This window comes from Homo sapiens, chromosome 3 (genome assembly GCF_000001405.40).
Source record: "Homo sapiens chromosome 3, GRCh38.p14 Primary Assembly".
NCBI classification, from domain to species: domain Eukaryota; kingdom Metazoa; phylum Chordata; class Mammalia; order Primates; family Hominidae; genus Homo; species Homo sapiens.
This window is the reverse complement of record NC_000003.12, coordinates 152,445,575-152,466,085: the sequence shown is the minus strand read 5'-3', so window position 1 is coordinate 152,466,085 and position 20,511 is coordinate 152,445,575. Positions and strand designations below refer to the sequence as shown.

General features: G+C 33.9%; 1 protein-coding gene across 130 annotated transcripts in view; it reads right to left on the bottom strand.

Annotated features, from left to right (window-relative positions):
* The window catches only part of MBNL1 (muscleblind like splicing regulator 1), a 222,149-nt gene continuing 201,943 nt past the window's right edge, over positions 306 to 20,511 (bottom strand). For 36 of the 130 annotated variants that reach the window (NM_001387781.1, NM_001376826.1, NM_001387801.1 and 33 more), the window contains 5 exons: positions 18,313 to 18,466; positions 10,509 to 10,544; positions 9,725 to 9,819; positions 6,741 to 6,815; positions 306 to 3,701 (listed from right to left, as the gene is read on the bottom strand). In NM_001387781.1, the coding sequence (NP_001374710.1) occupies positions 6,759 to 6,815; positions 9,725 to 9,819; positions 10,509 to 10,544; positions 18,313 to 18,466 (342 nt within the window). In that variant the 3' untranslated portion in view covers positions 306 to 3,701; positions 6,741 to 6,758. Of the gene's footprint in view, positions 3,702 to 6,735; positions 6,816 to 7,892; positions 8,078 to 9,724; positions 9,820 to 10,508; positions 10,545 to 18,312; positions 18,467 to 19,328; positions 19,383 to 20,511 lie in introns of those variants that run through there. The other 94 variants (NM_001376819.1, NM_001387785.1, XM_047448139.1 and 91 more) reach the window with 24 other exon arrangements.

Genomic DNA, 20,511 nt, shown 5'->3' with positions numbered 1-20,511 from the left:
TTCTTACCGTTTTTTGCCCTGACACTTAAAACTATTTCAATCAGCGCTTAAAGTGTCAGACAGGGGAAGGCAAGAATTTCAGAAAACATTGGGCACAGGAGGGCAATATATGCTGATTTAGATTCTCCCTCTCAGTGTCAAAGGATAATTAGTGAGAAAGACAACAAATGCCTTCCTCGCAGTTGCAATCAGTTAAAACCAGGTAACAAATTTATACATCAATATGTTTGTAAAGATAGATACATATGCATGAATACATGAAACACGCAAAAATAATTTAGTATTCAATCTCAGATACACGAATATACTTAAGAAAGAGAAGTTTTATTAGGGCAATTTCACTTTATTTTTCCATACAGCAAAGTCAACTACTGCAGTAATAATAAAATAAGCATAAAACAAATTGCAGCCCAAGACAAAATACATAATTTTAAGCAACTACAAGCAGAAAGTAAGTTGTGATTACATAATAGTAAAACCAAGCACATTTGTCCTTTCAGCAGATGAAAGTGGTAGGGTTGCTGATAAGTGCAACATTTTTAACCAGCTGGAGTGAAGGCTGGATACACTAATTCTTTTAAACAAGTGCCCATTATCACATTTTGCATTTTTGAGTGCTTCTGAGTTGAAAATTAAAACCATGAAATTTGAACTGCGTTTTATTTTTCACCTGCTGAAAGAACAGGATCCTACAGCAATTAAAAAACAATCACATAACAACTATAGCTACAGTGTGCTGTTTGGTTTGCCTGTTTATGATTTAAATTTTGTGAAAGTCAATACTTGTTTTGAAGATTTTTTTGTGAACAATAAACCACTGAAATTGGCAGAAACTGATCTGAATAATATATGTTCTTAGTATAGTTCTTTCTCTCTTTTTTTGTTGAAGTTTTAAACATGCAGTAGTTTTGAAAAATGTAAGGAATATCTGATCCATGATTTCACCTTAATGGTAGAAGTACCTGCTATTTTTGGTAATGATCTTCAGGCAGATTTGGCCCCATGGAGTTTTTGTCAGTCATGAGGGTTTGAAAGGATGGCGTATCTTTCCAGCTGAAAAAATCCTGGCAAACTACAAGCTGTCCACAAGAAAGCAAAGCAACATGTTTGAAGGGGTATGGAGTGCTAACTCTGTGCCACTTTTGCAAGCAATTTTGCTCAGTCTGTCATTGTATTAGCCTTAACAAAACTCCTTGTAATTATAGACGTTTTTATTCAAAATAAGATCTTACTATTATACAGGTTTCTCTCTTTTGACTATATACAGAAGTGCAAAAAGTCAACCTTCTCCCTAGACGTTCCAACATGCTAAATTGCAGCATAATCAACCCTCAAGAGTTTGCACACACGCTATAATTTTCATTACGTAAACTTTGAGTATTTGGATTATCAACAAAAAGTCCCTTGTTCTATTTATTGATTATGCAGCTTATTTATAACAAGGCCTGATACTCAGGGATTTCAAAAATATTAAACAATATTTTAACATTTGAAATGGATACAGTAGAAAATAAATTTTATTCTAATATCTAGGATCTAGATCTTCTTATAATAACTAATTACAAACAAAATAAATCATCAAAATATTACTCAATTGTCTGCCAGGATTGTTGCGATAGCAACAACTTAACTTCTTACTTAGCAATGATTATATATTTATAAGATATCCATATAAAAGATCTTTGTTCTTTTAATGAAAACTAGACAAGAACTAACAATGACTGACATTCTTACACTGTAATATTAAATCAGTAAAATATAAATCATTTAGTTAACAATACGAATATTCATGTGACACTACATGTAATTCAAAACTGAGTATGTTATGAAGGAAAAACTACTTTTTTTTGTATTTTGAAAAATTCATTGGTAAAATCTAATAAAACAAGTCTATAAACTGAAATGGTATTCAATTGTTAATAGAAAATGAAAATCTAATAAATGTAGGAAATGAAAAACTACATTTTAACAAGAAAAATAAGTAATATTCTATAATGTAACTAACTACAATAACATGTGAAGTCACCATTACTTTCTTAACACGATTGAAATTACATTGGTATGGGTTCCAACCCGTAATGTAATAATCTAAGGCTTTAATAGATGTACAGTACAATCAGTAAAATCAACACATCAGTCTTATATTAGAAAGCATCTCTCTCAAGCATAAAAACTTGCAGTAAACTTGGAAGTATGGAAAGTTCTATAACTGAACTTTCACTTCTCCCATTCCATACTATAACTACCAGTGACCTGGCCCCTACTTCAGCAATTTTTAGAACTGCTGAACAGAGCAAAAATATCCTTTACTAGCTGCAACATCCAAACCTCAAAAAAAGGAATTCCTTTGGATGATTCCATTCTTAAAAACTGAATGCACATCTATTTTTTTTTTAATTTTGTAAAAGGCTTTCTAAGGCTATAAGCAGTTAATCTGAACAAAACAAAACAAAACAAAAATCACATATAAAATTCACCCATGTACTTAACCCACCCAATTACTAGGTTAATTAAACATTTCCCATTTTCATATTTTGGTTTATCATGCATCTGATGACAGTGCTGCTTTCTTCTTTGTTTAGAGTCACTATTTTGAATGTGACTGTGATGAAGCATTTAAGCAAACGTGAAACCATTTTTGCAAAGCATTTATAGTCTTTTGACTTTTGACAGAGGCTATAAATAGAAGCAAAATAATTTCCTCATTTTTTTGTTACTGTGTCTCAGAAATGGCAATCCCTTTTGAATAACATGTTATACAGTATAGTATGCATAAATATTACACTACAATGCATTAAAATAATTTTATATATATCTATTATATATATATCTCCAGTATGTGTGAGTTTATCTGTATTGAGAGAGTTTGTGTTGTGCTGTCTATTGTTACTGTAAAGTTAAATTGGCCATTTCTGAGACAGCTTTGGTTTCAAAAAAAAAAAAAAAGAATGGTGCCCTTTGACTGATTAGTACTAGCAAATATGCAACAAAATGTGGCTCTGAAAACAATAACACTGAAGAAATAATACTCTAATTTGATGTACAGTCTATGGCACTTCATGAGAATCCTTAACAACATGGTACTTAAAGCCATGATGTGCTTTAAAATATACACAGTTGTGGTTTTGCTTGGCACATTCATCTCTGTCAGATCCCTCCCTCACCACGTCTTACAATCTATTACATTAAAAATATTACTCTTAAACAAAAATGACTGTGCATGCACGCTCTCATCTATAATGGCAATTTTAAATACAAGGTGCACCTTTGTTATTTGTAAACCTTGAAAGAAATAAACTTATTTTTAAAAAATTATATCTTGGTCTACAGACGTACCAATACATAATAGAATCATGGTTACACCATAGTCTGTCTTTTCAAGATGGCATGAATATATAGGAAACTAACTAGGTATGCATCTTTGAATGCATAACTCTGTGCTAGAAAAGAAAGACAATGTTGTTCTTTTAGACAGGAATATCACCTCAGCACAAATATCAATTAAATGTACAAAGTGTATAGGCAACAGTGTGCAGTGGATTTCCGGAAAATGTTGTCTTTTCTTCTGGTTAACATGCAATATGTGGATGTCTTGTGGCTGAGGAACTTTTGTGTGTGTTGCTTGACGATATATACAATATGGCTAATGACCTCGTCCTTTACTCTAACCAAGCACACTGTCCTTTCCTCTTTAGCATGATCTACAAGGGAAAAAGAGATAAGCTTTGTTAGAACAGGTAATATCTAAAAGCAGTTTCTAATATACATTTAATATGAAAATTTTCTTTTTGATTAACCAGTATATTTACATTATATCTTCATATAAAAACAAAAACCATTTTACAAGAGTAGACAGATCAAAATTTGTCTATCATCTCTACACGAATGAAATAACACGTACAATTTAATAAAACTGTAGAATGTGCTCCAAAATTTACCAATCCTAAACTAAAAGTATAAAATACATTTGCAGAATCAGGGGGCCTAATATACAGAGCTCTTTTTTAGCACAATTGTTGTAGGGCAAAATTTAAACTTCTTTTCTGAAGTTTAATAAGGTTTCAAGAGTAAAGGTCTGGTCTACAAAATTAAAATTCATGTAATATGTTCTATTAAACAAGATTTATTCTTTTTGGGTGCTTGATTAGCATAATGCATGTTTGAAAAAAAAAGAATGATACTTTAAGTGATGGCTTTGGGTAATTCAGTTTGTTGAACTTTTTTCACCTAAAACTAAGAAAATAAAAATCATTCTTTTTGAATTACAGAATTATTACTCATGAATTAAGCTGTAATAGACATTACAATGTACTTGTGGATTAACAGTTCCAGTTTTTACATGAAATTTGTTCTCAGCAGCGAATATTTACATATATTAAAAGTATGCTTCACAATACAACCTTGAAAATGAAAGAAATCATAATCTAGTGACTCAAAAACCAGTTTAAATGTTGCAACTCCTCATGAAGATGAGCAATCATTTGTTAAATGAACAGAACATTAAAAGCTTAGCTTCAATACAGACAAAACTACTGGTTTGCTAATTATTTTTAGAAATTTTTTTCAACCTGGATTATTGCTAAGAAACAGAATTTAGTTAAATATATACATACCAAACACACCTAATTGACTATAAGAGCTTGAAACAGATTTTTCTGGCATGTCAAAAAAACCTCTTCTTCTAAACCTACAACACTGCAAAGTAATGCCTCTTCTTCTACAAATGTGGCTATTGTTCAGAATCTGAACCTTTTTATCAGAACTGCTTTGAGAAAACTTATGAAATAGACAAAAATCAATTTTAATAATTCACGATTGCAGCATATCTTTGGCAGTACTTCTCCAGTTGAGCCTCTCATTTCTTTCTTAAATGGCTATTGAATTCTGCCTGTTCTCCTGCATGGGCTTTGACTTTGTCCAGCTTTGCTACAGATTAACATCACAAGGGTTTCTGAGTTGGTTCTCAGCCATCATCGTTTCCTGACTTGGCACACTGTCCTTCTTTTACAAGGCCTTTACACCTCCATTCTCTTTAGAACAACACCTTCATTGTCCACATTCATTTGTTTACGGATCCTGTTGGGAACAGCTGCTCCTTCATCTTTGCTCTAAGAGAAATTTCTTCAAACCTCTCTTATTTTACTATATTATCCTGAAATTCCTTACATCTTTATCTTATTATCTATTTACCTTTATCTCCTTGCCATGGTAACTAACACAAAGTAGCACCAAAAACTCATTTGTAAATATGTTAATAAATAAATAAAGGAAGCAACAAAGAATGGTCACCCATCTTAACCAATTTCAGTTTTAAATGTAATGTCTCTTTCTAAATATAAAAATAAATAACAAGCATCTGAGCACATGTTATAACTTGAATGCATGCATACTGGACAAAACATATTCCTATGGATGAAAAATGGACACCTTTTTAAGTATTTAAGACAGTGGTTTTTTTTTTTGTTTTTTTTTTTATACTTTAAGTTTTAGGGTACATGTGCACATTGTGCAGGTTAGTTACATATGTATACATGTGCCATGCTGGTGCGCTGCACCCACTAACGTGTCATCTAGCATTAGGTATATCTCCCAATGCTATCCCTCCCCCCTCCCCCGACCCCACCACCACAGTGTTTTTAAAGACAAAATACAAGACTTTCAAACCATTTTTAAAATGTGGCAATGGCAACATTTTCAGAATTATATGATCCTCTGAGGTAACTACTTTAAAGTAACTAAGATTCATTTGAATATGTAGATTTGTGTGTACACATATATTTGATTATGTGTATATATTTATTTAAAGTCAGACTCACTACATTTTTTTTTTTTTGAGACAGGTCTTGCTCTGTTGCCCAGGCTGGAGTGCAGTGGCGCAATCACAGCTCATTGCAGCCTCAACCTCCTGGGCTCAAGTGATCCTCCCACTTTAGCCTCCCTAGTAGCTGGAACTACAGAGTGTGCTACCATACCCAGCTGATTTTTTTGTATTTTTTGTAGGACAGGGTTTGACCATGTTGCCTAGGCTAGTCTTAAATTCCTGGGCTCAAGCAATCCACCCACCTTGGCCTCCCAAAGTGCTTGGATTACAAGTGTGAGCCACCACGCTTAGCCAAACTCATTACATTCTAATGCCCCTGTGTATGGTGGTGCATGGGATGAAGTAAGTACATGGTCCCATTTAAGGTTTAGCCAAAGAATGAAAAAAAAAAAAAAAAGTGATAATCTACACCAGAGGTCAGCCAAACTACTGCCTGTGGGCCAGATGTGATGTACTGCCTGTTTTTGTAAATAAAGTTTTACTGGAACACAGCTACACCCATTTGTTTACATGTGGTCTCTGGCTGCTTTCATGATACAATGGCAGAGGAGAGTAGCTGCAACAGAAACGATACGGCCCACACAGCAAAAATACTTACTGTCTGACCCTATAAGAAAGTTTGCCAACCCTTGATCTACACCTTCTAATTACTTTTTGGTCATACATTTTCTTTATGCTGTGTTTATCTCTAATCAGAAATTTAAAAAATTTATTTTCTCTTAGTACTTTGTATATTTAAGTGATATTAACATATTTGTTATAAAGATGTCTGATAAAATTCCTCACACCCATTTAAGATAAAAATGTGATCTGTATATATTTTCTCAGAGATTTCGCAAAATTTTAAGTGCACTATACAATTGCTATCTTAAAAAAAACCACCACAAATATGCAACTATATATTACATAATGAACTTACTGTTTAGTGATGAAAATTCTACATCTGGGTAACATACTTGTGGCTAGTCAGATGTTCGGCAGATATTATGGGTATCTAGCAAATAAAAAATTATTTAATGAATGATCCATGCAAGCAAGCCAACAATTAAGAGATGAAAACATTTTAATATTAAATTTTTAAAGAAAAGTGAAATTCAGCTGTGAGGTGATAGTCCTTATCTGGTCAACATAACAGTAAGTTAATGTAAACTTAAATGCCAAAGTAGCAACTAACTTTAAAATCTTCATGTTAAATACTATTCTATAAATGTTACCAGCTTTTAGGAAATAAGTAAAACTATCAAAAATTCATGCAGAGCAGTAATTGAAAGAAGCCCTTTTTGTTGGCCTACACACACACACACACACGCACCCCCGTGGTTTCAGTTACTTAGTAATCATCCAGAAATCAGATAAGGAAATGTCTTGCCTATTTTTGTGCAACCAAATTTCTAACATTTTCGTTCAAATTAGGGTGTCTAACTTTTTTTTTCCAAATTAAAAATACCAGGTAAGAATTATAAAGCAGTAATTCAAAAGAACTAGGTAAGAGCCTAAGTTTACTTCAGAACATATTTCTGAATCCTGATGACACCTTTTATTGTATTTTAAATGGGCAAGAGAATTAGAGAACTTGAGAGAAAATACAATAAGAAACCAATATAGAGTTGACTTATTTCAATAGTTCCCAAAGTTAAGAACTTCGGATTTGTAGCTTGATTCTTCAACCTGAAATTAATGCCTGCTAACCTGAGAGAGGCAGCACAATGGATTGAGACTGTCAGAGGACTGATGACACGGGTGCTAGCCCCAGAGATCCATTTACTGGCTGTGTGACCCTGAGCAAAGCAACTCATTACTCTATGCTTAAGTCTCTTCTATAAAATGATACTAATCCCATTTCAGCAATGTTGTTGGGAGAATAATGAAATCAGATACACAAAGGCATTTTGTTGCTGTTCTTTCAATTTAGACATCTTAGGCTAATTCAACATACTACAATCCACAGTCTGGCGTGTATATTAATATGTCCCTGTTTTATTTCCAGTTCTCAGCTGACATTTTTACACAATTTTACAGCATTGGCAAATGGCACGAAAATGTGCTCCAAGCATAATGAAGCTTCTCATACCATTTTTCCTGCTGCTGCAGGACAGGATGTTGCACCCAACAGTGTAGAAGCATCAAGGATGGGGCTGTCGAAACATACCAAGGACCTTCAACACCAATCGATGCAGATGAAGGGCCAGCTATAAACTTCTGCATGCATGCAGGCTGCATTTTGTGGCATCAGCTATTTCCAGCATTGCTAATGTACTGTAGGCATATACATATGTATGTATATGTAGATATAATATATGTGTGTATATATATATCCATTCCCTTTTCTTTCTTTTGGTTGTCAAATAGTATGAAGATCCAAGATTATGCATGAAATGGTCACAGCACAATGCAAAAAGTAAAGTGTCCCCTACAACCCAGGTGGCCAAGGGCATGTTGAAATTTGCTCTGCTATAGTTCTGCTTACACCAGCAATTCTACAGTCATACATGGTAGACGCATGAGAGTTCTTTATCATTGATTTGCACCATAGATGGATTGTATTGAATCCATCATAATAGTTCTACCAAAGGTTACTTATTAACATGCCACATATGCACAATCTAGCATTCTTGTAAATGAGTCTGACGTGTTCATGTAAACCCAGGGCTATTTTGACAAGCTTCTGAAAAATTAATGATTCTTTGCCAAGAAATGTTTAAAGCTTGACTGAAACGTTAAATTCATTTTTGTGTTCTGATTTTGAAAGTTTTTAATGGCTGTACTAATAGCTGAATGTTCTTCATCAACAGTACGTGATGTATTATAGAACAAGGGTGGCTACTCCTCACAGTAATAACAACAAATCTATGTCTTAATTGGTCTTCCCTTCCCAAGGGGGAACATGTTCATTTTCATCTGACACTCATTCTTTTGAGATTCATTTGGCTACCTTTAATCTTCCTCTGTGGATTATCTGAAATGTGGCTTGGCTCTATGTTTTTCATACACTATCAACTCTATTGAAGCCCAAATCTACATAAATGAAACTTGAAATCAACCAGTATTTTCTAGAAAATATTTTTAAGTAGAATCAGAAAATGCTGGGTGAATAAATGTCAATTTTTAAATTTTAAATATTTTAAATCATCATTTATTTTTAAATAGTTATTATTGTATATCATAAAATTTAAATTTATGAAACAAATCCCTTTCACTTAAAAGTATCCTGCAATAAATTTGCATGGAATACAGAATGACTGTCAATTTGCCATACTTAATTTCTTTTCTTTTCCTTCATAAATCTCCAACATTTATGCAGGGTAATTATAAAAATAAGAGCGCTTAGGATTTTTCTTTCACTGAAAGCATTGAGAATAAAAGCTTAGAAATGCTACATGCAAACAATTTATTTTGAATCTGCTCATTAAATGATTCAGATTATAATGAATTTATAACAAACTTATTTACAAGAGTGGTCATTTGTGGCATACGTAATACATTTAAGTATTTTACTTTCTATTAATCATTTAGGCAAGAACTAAGAAACTGTATATACCAAATATTTTAAATAAAAACCTTAAAATGGCCTCTATTTTTGATTGGTCAAAATACCTGCACGATTGGTTGAAACCAATTGAGAATTGCTTGTGTAAATATCATTTTAGTAGCTTCAGAAATGGAGCTGCGACGACTTTGGAGCACTTATAAATGGCATAAAAGCATTCTGCTGCTCATCATAGAGAGAATGTGTAGGCCAACAAGAGGTATCTTTGAAACCCCATGCTTATTAAAGCACCCTCTACAGCCCTCACGTACACACGATTCCCACTGACCTCAATGGGAAATCCACGTGCGTAAGGGCTGTTGGATTGAGCCCTATTAGAGTTGTTTTTTAAGAAACAAAGCTGTAAATTAGCAAACCTGGTTGGCTGTGGCTGTTGCAGCGAAGGGAACACTTGTGGCAGATGTTGTTGCTGCGGACACAGTGGCTGGCGTAGCACCGTGCACCATGGGAACTTTCGGAGGGAAAATCATATAAGCGAACATACAGAAGAGTGTAGCAATATGGAAACCATGGCAACATGGAAGAGATAATTGGGCATGGTATTTATCACAGCAATAAGCCATGTGACAGGACATCATCACCAGCGAGTGACATGCAATCACAGCGCAAAGCAGGACAACATTCCAAGGAGAGAAGGGGAGGAGGGATGAAAGAGAAAAAAAAGGGGGAAAAAAGCTTGTTACCATCAAATCAAGAAAATTGACACAAACAGGCTTAATATGCTAAGTCAAAAACAAGAATTTTATATAGTGTTCATAGTCAGACATTCAAAATCTAAGTCAAAATACAAGTATTTACTTCATATATACAGTTATCTGTTTGAATGAAAGTATTTTTTTCTCATTTACTATTATAAAAATATACAGTATATTACTTTTATGAAATAGATTTTTTTTACACACCAGAACTCATAGTCCAATCAAAATCCACCAAAGGTGACTAAAGGAAACTGTTGTGTGTAAAGAAAACACTTATGTGAGTCCATGTCAATTAAACAGAAAATGGCATTTAATTGACAAGTGTTAGTAAAAGGGAAATGGACTTGCCCAATAGATATAAGTTAAACTTAGCAGTGGATTTTGAGGGGCTGTGAGGTACACCATAGGTTTAAGATAATCAAGAAACAAAGCTGGCACCTACCAACACTTGTAGCGGGTGTCATGCACAATATTGAGCCTGCCCATCATGCATTGCAACAGGAAGGTGGATTTGAAAAGGGAAAAGAATTAAAACATCCCATCACACGTGTAATTAGAAAATTCATTTGAACAAAGAAGAAAAATTGTTATTATGGGAACAGTGGCATGTAACTGTCAGCACAATCAAATCATACAATAGCACAGTGATCAATTAGAACTAGTCTCAAGTGAAGAATAAAAGCCAGTTTAACTGTGTGCTGGTACACTTTGTTTCTCTTAATTGTTGCCTATAAACAAAAGTATTTTGGAAGTAATTTAAATCCACTTAATTCTTTTAAAAATAATATTGTAATTTGTTTTGTTTTAATCTGATTACTAACCATCTGGTCGTTTTGCTATTTCTGACTTTAACTTATGAATGCCTTAACATTTTCTTTATATCAGGCACATATTAACTTACTAAAGATATTTATTATTAAATACTAAATAATTCAATGTACAAAACTGACTTAACAATATAATGAAACCCAAACATTCATTTTCATTCCTTTTGCTTTATTTTCCTGTTCATTGTAGCAGCAACCATATAAACATGAAAGGGGTTGTAATTATTCATACAGGATTTGTATTTGGAGGGATGCCAAGCAATAAATTATACATAAAAAAGTGAAATTTGTGCCTTTCCTTAGTTTGAAATTAAAATGTAGGAAAAGCATTAAGGGGGAATATAATTTCTTATAAGTATCAAATTGGTTTACTTCACAGTATCTAGGAAATCAGAGTGGTTTTCATTGCTGGTTTAGACCTTCAAGACTTCTGGGAGTAGCAAATGTTCTACAAAATTTCACACGCAAGAAACTGCTAATTAGAGTTCAATAAAAACCTTGAGTGGGAGAGAGTGAAAATACATACATCACATATGGGGTGTTAGCACTGATGCTGACAATTGTTCAACCATGATAAGCAAAAATAAATGTTGCATATATAGATAGTCCTTGTTCTCTTTGACATGTAAATATTGAAAATTTAACTTATTTTACCAAGTACAAGGCACTTTCCCATATGCAGAACTACTGTTCTTTCTATGGGATTATTTTAGAATTCTAGGTTTTAAAATATCCAAGGATTTTATATTTCTATCTAAATCTTAGCATATCCTGTTTAAATACTAGCAGCATCTGGGACGAACATTTGTTAGAAAAATATCTGCCAAATGAATCTCGTCAGAGATGGCCCTATAAAATAAAGCTGCCATTGAGAAACTCAGCTGAAACACGGATTACTTAACTGGCATCTCTGTAACAGCTGCGATTAGTTTGTTATCACAATTAGACTGTGGGCAGAGTGATCAACGATTAAACTCTGTAATGTATCTGGGGACACATCCTATCAAGTGGAATAATATTATATTGACAAGCATTAAGACACTTGAAGATCTCTGTCATTTGCTACTACTACTGAGTCAAAGACTTGTGAAAGACAAACAGAAACAAGCCAGTAATAACAAAGAAGTTATAATAATTTGAGACAGTAGAGCAAGCAAAACTTAATACCGGATCTACATCTTATAAAATCATTACTGTCTTAATGGTAGGGTGAGAGAATTGGAAAAGAAATGATGAATGAAAAAGAATAATGTGATAATTAAGTAATATTAAAGCCAGTTTAAATATTGTACAGGTTATATTTTTCAATTATTTATTATTAGGCTGAGACTTGCCTACTGTATTTCATCCCATGCATAATTAAGTCTGCACATGCTGAAAATGAGTTAACCTTATACTATCTCTCTAAAATCCTAAAGCTATTATGATTTGAATTTTAGTTTGAATTATCTTCCTCATTAGCATTATAACCAATGCACACAGTTTTGAGAGGGATTTGCAGCAAATAAACATAAGGCAGCAATGAAAATACTAGCCAGGGTGCAATAACTCACAAATATGAGGACATAATGCTGTAGGACCCACTTACCAAAAATGAAAATCACTTTTGAAATGACCATAGTTTCCATCTTTACATGGGTTGATTTACTACTAATAATGTGCAAATGGCCAATTTAAATTTTTCCTCAATTTTCAGCACAAAGCAAAATTTAAGTGAATGTATTTGTCAATTTCCAATTTCTCCTACAAAGATATTTGCAGAGCAGAATGGTGTGCTTCTGAGAAATGTGTTATTTTAATTGCATGACCTTTTAAATCAAAAATTTTAATTGATATGTATGAAAATGTAGGAAAAACTAGGATGATAATTTACAAATAAGATGTATGCATACTTAAAATTACTTGGAGTAGAAGGGAAGTAAGTAGAAGAGAGAAAAAGAATTGTAATGAAGATTTAGTTGGAAGTTAGAATTTCGATGTAATAATTCAGTCCTATTTAGGTTGATTATAAGAAGTATTAGGCTGATTAAGATTTTCTAAAAATAGTGTATATCATTTTAAGACTAAAAGTTAACAATCAGTTGGATTATTCTCAAAATTGGTATCCAAACAAGCAGTACCTTCTTTATTTTTATTAATTATAAGTAATTTATTAATATACATAATTATAAATGATTATATGTATTAATGATACTAAATGTGACAAATCTTTTTCTCTTCTTTGCATAAACACAACCCTGCCTACCCCTGCCCTTAGACCTACACCACCACCTAAGAGTTTCCTGGCCTTTCGTTGCCTTATTCTTGGTAGAGTTGTAATACAAGCCAAAATAGAAGTTGTTTAAAGTAAATGTATTTTCAGAACTGTTAAAACTCATAAGCCAACACTGATTGAGGGAGATATGCTAGAGAGGGAGACAAGAGGTGTGATTCTGAAGATGGTAGGTAAGCAAAAATGGTGATGGAGGGCAGAGAAAAAAATTCCTCAAGATTGAAGTGGCAGGCAGTGTGCAGCTCCACAGGTAGCTGGGTAGGTAGCCTGTTCTTTCACAATAGCCCTGCAGACATCAGGTCCTCAAGGGCATGGGAGCCTGGAGGGCATAGACAAGGAAGCCTATATCCAAGGCAAGCACAGAACCCCTGGAGTACCTGTCTTAAGAGCTCTTGCAAGCATAGACAATGATCACATCAGCAGTGAGCAGCGGTGACTGAAGCATGAAGAATGCATAGCCTGTCTGAGAATACTAGACTGTACAGGACCTCACATTGAGGTAAGGTCAGGAAAGAGAGGGAGCTGGGGCATGTAGTCCTGGATTCCCAGTAATGCCTGTTATTTCTCTCAACCCAGGGAGATAGAGATCACAGTTCAGAGCTAGACTTAATTTCAACGAAAAAAGAAATGGTGTAAAGGAAAGTGGTATTTCTTACACGCCGTAATTTCATGAGTGAAAACTCATATATATAACATAAATAGATCCTAAATTATGCATAATATCTACAAATAATCAATCTGGTCCTGAAAGGGGAAGGTTAAAACAAGTATATATCGAAATTTGAAAAGACAAAACTTCAATATGAATTTAACCTAATACTTATATTTATCTTTAAATGAGGTGGAAGGTGTGAAACACCATGGAGTTAGGTGTTCAGTAAGGGCTACTTCCACTCTCCCAAATCATTTTTAAGGTCTTCGTGTAATAGATATTGAGAGACTAACCAAGTCAGCCTGACTTGAGTTCAAGTTGTACTTAAATCTAAACCTTACAAAAGCCATTTAACTTGGGACAAATCACTGTACCTTACTAGGCTCCAAATTACTCATTCGTAAAATGAAAATATTAATGCCAACCTTCTGGGCGTTGTGAAAAAAAATGAGATAATGTAGGCAAAGCACTCAGTGCAGCAGGGAACAAGAGCAACCATTCAATAAAACGTAGCTCTTTTGAACAAAATATCTGAAACAACCTGGCCTAAGGCAATAGGGAATTGTAGCGTTTGGAACTGAAGGGTACAGTATGTGTCCTATCTAAAGGATTTACATTTAGTTTTCATTTAAACACTCTTAAACAAAAATATTTCTAGATACTAGATTTTACCCTTGAGCTATCAGTTTGCAATCCTTCACATAAATACTGGTATACCATGTGGCATACAATCAATGTTTATTGACTGAATAAATGGAAAGATGGGTGGATAGATAAATGGGGGGATGAATAGATGGATGGAAAACTGAAGGACAGAGGAAGGGAGGAAGGAAAAAAGGATAAAGAGAGGAAAGGAAAGGGGAGAACAGAATGATAGGAGGATGGATGGATGTATGGTTGAATGATGCTTAGATGGGTAATGTCCATATTAAATCCAATTCTGTTCTTAAAAGTTAAAGTATGTAGTAATTTTTCTTAGCTAGCTGGCTGGCTTGTCACTGAACCCTGATCTTTTGCCAGCAAACTACTCTATACGCAGCCACCTGCTCTAAGAATTTAGCTAACCATGCTTCACTGTAATTTGAATAAAATATATCTACACATCTGAAGTTATCATTGAAACAACAGACTACAGACCACTAAAATTCTGAGCTGCAAAAAATAAAAGAATTCCATTTTCTTCCCAGTTCCAATAAAGCCTTCAAAAGTGTACCTTCCAAATTATTAAATTGTGTTCAGATCGGATTCCTTGATCATCTAATTCTTCTGTATTATTTGTCTGCAGAACAACCAAACTTTGGAAAATGAAATTCCTTTTCTCCCAGGTATTAGACATGAGATTACATGTGAATGTGTGGTAAGATGAATTTCCTTTAGTTCTCAAAGGGTGTTTTTAAAAAACTGAATTGCCAAAATTTAAATATTGAGAAATTTCACATATAAACATACAAATGTCTAGAGTATCTGGGAAAAAATCATAAGACCATAAGACCTAGCAACACTGTATGTCAGGGCTACTGTGTTAGGTTGTGCGGGTTTCTTACAACCAACCCTATGAGGCATATACACAATCAATTGTGGTTTACACAGACTATGATATAAATGGAGCCACAAAGGGTTTGCAGTGGACAGCAAGTACAACCTGCCAGGCAGACAATCCTCTGAGGCAACAAAAGGCAAAGTCTGAACATTGACTATACTCTTTAGACTGAGCCTGTGCTCCCCTGTGCCTCCCAGACCCCACAGCTCCCAATTTATTCTTGCTTCACTTGTGTTTCCTGCCTGGCCCCTGAGGCTTTTGCATATACATTCCCTGCATTAGACTTCTTTCCTTTCTGACTGTCTGACAAAGTGATGGGGCAGAAATAATGAAGAGCTATCCATTTTAACCTTTTCATGCCACAGCGTCAATTTTTGTGAATGCAGGTATATATTATATAATGAAAATATTTTAAAATAATCATGGAGTCACTACCTACTTCTGATTATGTGATTAATAAAGGTCAACTTGCTGTTTCAGGCCCTTATAACTGAGTTGCAAATAAATGTTATTTTATGTTACTAATGCAATAATTTCACACTATATTGATTATATTTGAGAAATATGTGTGTGTGTGTGTATATATATTTGTTGTTGTTGTTTTGTGTGGTTTTTTTTTTTTTTTTTTGAGATGGAGTCTCACTCCTTTGCCCAAGCTGGAGTGCAGTGATGTGATCTTGGCTCACTGCTCCGCCTCCCAGGTTCAAGGGATTCTCCTGCCTCAACCTCCCAAGTAGCTGGGATTACAGGCATGCATCACCACATCCGGCTAATTTTTGGATTTTTAGTAGAGATGGGGTTTCGCCATGTTGGCCACGCTGGCCTCAAACTCCTGACCTCAAGTGAGCCACCTGCCTCGGCCTCCCAAAGTGCTAGGATTACAGGCATGAGTCACTGCGCCTGGCCAATATTTGAGAAATATTGATCAAGAATAGAATATCTCTGATGCAAAATGCATCATAATAAATGCAAATATATCTTAAAATTTTCAGCATATTTCAATTAATGCAGATTTTATTTAAATTAGCAATGCTTAACCTAGCACAGAGAGACAAGTTTGATTCTGATTTATGAATGAGTTTATTATTTTCCCTAATTTGAACTTTATCTAGCATCTTTGGCTCTATCCACAGACAAAAAGCTATTCTAGGGAGACACTAGTGTCACAAGTAAGGGTCATCATACCATGTAATTGGTTATACTTATTTAGAAAAAAAACTATAGTCATTTGAGAGTTGTTGAAAAAACTAATGTGAAACCTATTTGATAAAACAGATTTTTTCAGCTTTCTTTAAATAGCACAGATTTGTTTTTTAGACTTTAGTAGAGAAACTATCATATTTTTTAAGACTAGTCAAGTGCAGCAGTGAGAAGACAGCAATGAGTAGAACGAGGAGTTCAATCTGTAACTGACTGTGAACAATCTATTGAGATAACTCACTACCTCTGGTCTAGCTGAAACGGTCATTTATCATGGTAATGTTTTAGCCAATAAAATAAACTGACAAAAATAAGTTTTAATTTCTTCAAAGAGATTATGATAGTTACATATAATCCCTTGAAACTTTGCTCATCTGACTATAGAAAAACTGATGGATTGTTTGTTGGGGGCAGCGAAAATCTAGGGACACAGCAACTTGCACAAGAGCAAAAAGATTAATTTCTGAAAAACTATGCATGTTGAGAAGAAAGTTATAATATTACAAAACATAAGAGAAATGTGAGGCTGCAGGTCAAAATGATTTAGTTTTTGTTCCAATATGGGCAAACTGCAATTTGAAAGATACTATTTCACAAGTACAAATATCATTTTATCCACGTGTCTGGGGCACTGGCTATTTCAGCTAGTGGAATATTGTAGTTAATTGTTACTTCGTATTTATTTTACATATGGATGACTGATTTTCAAATATGTACTGTATAAAACTTATGGTTAGTATTAAAAGCTCATATAATTTATTTTGTGAATCAAAAATAAATTCACATTCTCTTATAGCATTATGAACCTAATACACTGTAAATACTGCCAGTATAGTCTAATATAAAATTGGGAGCTGGATTTTTGACATATATATCTACTCATTAATTTAATTAATAAAATAATTTTATTAAGTAAGTCTCTAAAACCATGGTATTCTGAAAATAAGGGTGAAGCAATAAAGAGGAAAGTGAGATTTGAGTTTCTGGTTAGTAAAATTCCAGATAATAATGAGCTTATATGTATTTTCTGAAGTAAGTTCAGAGTGAATAAAAAGAGTAAATTTCCAGGTAATTAAATGAGTAGCTAGTCTGTGTTTTAAACTTTGCAATCTGTGTGAATAATTCTAGATTATGTATACATTACCAAATTGAAAATAAGCTGAAACCACAAATGTAGAACTCCATAATAAATTAAACATTGCTGAGCACTTAGGGTTATTTCAATATTAGCTTAGGAACAGTCATAATTTTAAACAGTGTACTGATTGATGCCAATAAGAGCCCTTTTTAAGAGCTCTAGAACGCATAGTTGTTTTCATTCTTGACCTTGAAAACAAAAAGGCTGAAAAATAAAAATCAAAACTGAAAGTGCTGTTTTATATAATTTAAATTAACTCTATGGAATAATGAAGGCAAAGGGGTCTTACAGCAAGAAAGTATCATAAAATAGCTTGACAGACATATATAAGTGTTGAGGAAAGAGAAAAAAAGAGAACTATATTTCATTTCCAAATTACACAAACACAAATAAATATATAAAATACCACTGATCTTTAATCCACATTTCATTAAGCTACAATCCTTAGTTTTTAAGGAAAACCACATGAGATACCTCAGATAAGTTTCCATCATTGACCACCTTACCTGACACCTCATCTATAATTACAAACAAACTTGGGGTGTGGTTTATCTGCTCTAACAGTAGGACTCTCTGTAGATCATCAGATTCATTTATTAAGAAACCCCACCCCTTACCTGGTGGGAGAAATGCTGTATGCTGTTGTAACTGCATGTTGGCTAGAGCCTGTTGGTATTGGAAAATACCAGTGTTAAAGACTGCGGTGGCACCGTTGGTTTTTTCAAGAGCAGGCCTCTTTGGTAATGGGGGAAGTACAGCTTGAGGAATTCCCTGTTTAGTGAATGAGTATAAAAAACAAATACCAGTAAAAAGAGAAAAAGAAAAAAGAAAAATCAGTCGAAGGCTAAAATTGTTAGGAAGCATGAGCAAGCAAGCAGCAGAGCACTTAACTACCCGAGGGAAAAAATCCAATGAACAAAAAATTAAGGAGGAAAAAAAAAAAAAAAGCAAGATAAAAGCTTTAAAGGAAGCATTATTTTTGTCCAAAACAAAATCTCACTAGTACAAGAGCACATGTTATAATGTGTTAAAGTGCTTTATGTCCCATAATGCTTCAGGCTTTCTGTGAGAAGCCATTGATTTGGGAAAAGAAGAAAAGCCGCACTGCGAGCTCCATGAGGATTGACAAGTATAAGCAATGTTAATAGTTAATTGTACAGAGTGACTGAAACAGATAAAATAAAAACTAACCCACTCTGCTCCTCCCCCCAGATCTACCTAGACATGCAAATGTCCCAGAGCATGCAAGTTTTTTTCCTTAAATACTGAACTATAAATATTAAAATGTAAATAATTCTACCACTAAAGCCATGCTAACCAAACAGGTACATAAATATACAGTCAAAAATACACTCTTTATGTCCTCCGACTATTTCTTCAGAACATTCTACAATGTAGTTAAACTGAATGTGGGCTGCTGGGCTTTCAGAATCTTTTATTGTATGATATCCATCTATGTACTTAGATTATAGTCTTTCTACTAATTTTGTCAGGAAACCACACTCAGTTTTTTCATTGTACTTTACAACTCTATAACAGAAAAAAGGATATATATTTTAAAGTTGATTTAAAAAAAAAACTTGTATCTACAATAAAGCTACATGCCAAGCTAAAAGGTGAAAGGTCATAGTACCAGGTCAAAGGTTGCCTCGAGGGGTCGCTTCAGTGATTTGACAGCCGACTGAGTCTTAATTAGCAGGCAGCGAGCACATGATGGCAATGGGCCAGTGGGGTTCAAGCGCATTAACATAAACAGCAAGCAGAGGTGCATCATGGGGGCAGCAGTGCATTTTTGGGTAGGTGAGAAAAAACAAATAAAAAAACAAATCATCGGAATGCCATATACAACGAATAACAAGACTAAGCATGCACAATAAAGGCACTACTGAGTTGTTATTGGGAGGATAACTCCTCTTTGTAGTTAATTACAAACAAGATACTCTAACAGAAAAAAAAAAGAGTGAAAGGAAGAGAGGAGGAGAGAGTCTGCCTTCTGTATTTTTGCTCAAGTATCCATAAACACAGAAAAGATCTCTCTCGTGATTATTTCACTGTGTTATGAAATACTACACAGTGACTTTTAAAATGAGTATTTCATTGATTTAAGTCATATATTTATGTAAAAAAATGACAACATTAAAACAGGTAAGCAAAGAACAAAGAATGGGCTCATTAAAATCAGCTACTAGATCACATTAAAATTTACCTTGAGAATATAGTTTAGTAGCTATTCTTAATGATCCAATTTCTAACTCCTTGAGTACTGCTGTCTCTCTCCTGTCTATATAATGGCATAGTCAAGCTTCTCTAGTGTTACTATTATGTTTATGCCACAATATTATTTCAGACAATCTAGATAGTATACTACTCAAAATCCTGTAGCTAATTCTAAGAACAATTTTGTTGAACAATTCTCCTAAATAGTTCCAGATCATGTTATTGTTAAAAGCAAGATATATGTAAAGAAGAGCCTTGATGTGCAAAAGAACACACCAAAGGAAAACAATGGCTGATTAGATGGCACACAGAAATAAGAAGACTGAAAATGGCAATATCGTTAAGTTGAAAAGGAGACAGGTGGTTCTTTACAAAGCAGAGATTTCAGAAACCCTACATCCACAATAAGACAGATTAAGAGTTAGGCCAAGAGTAGGAGCAATCTGAACCATTTGAGGAGTTACCCTCACTTCTGTGAAAGTAACTTCTTTATATATTGTCTGGGATACCTGAACAAACATATCTTCAGCAATTTTTTTAAAAAGGTTACTAAATGAATAGCTTGTAGTCAGATATAGTTGCTCACTTTGCTTTTCTGA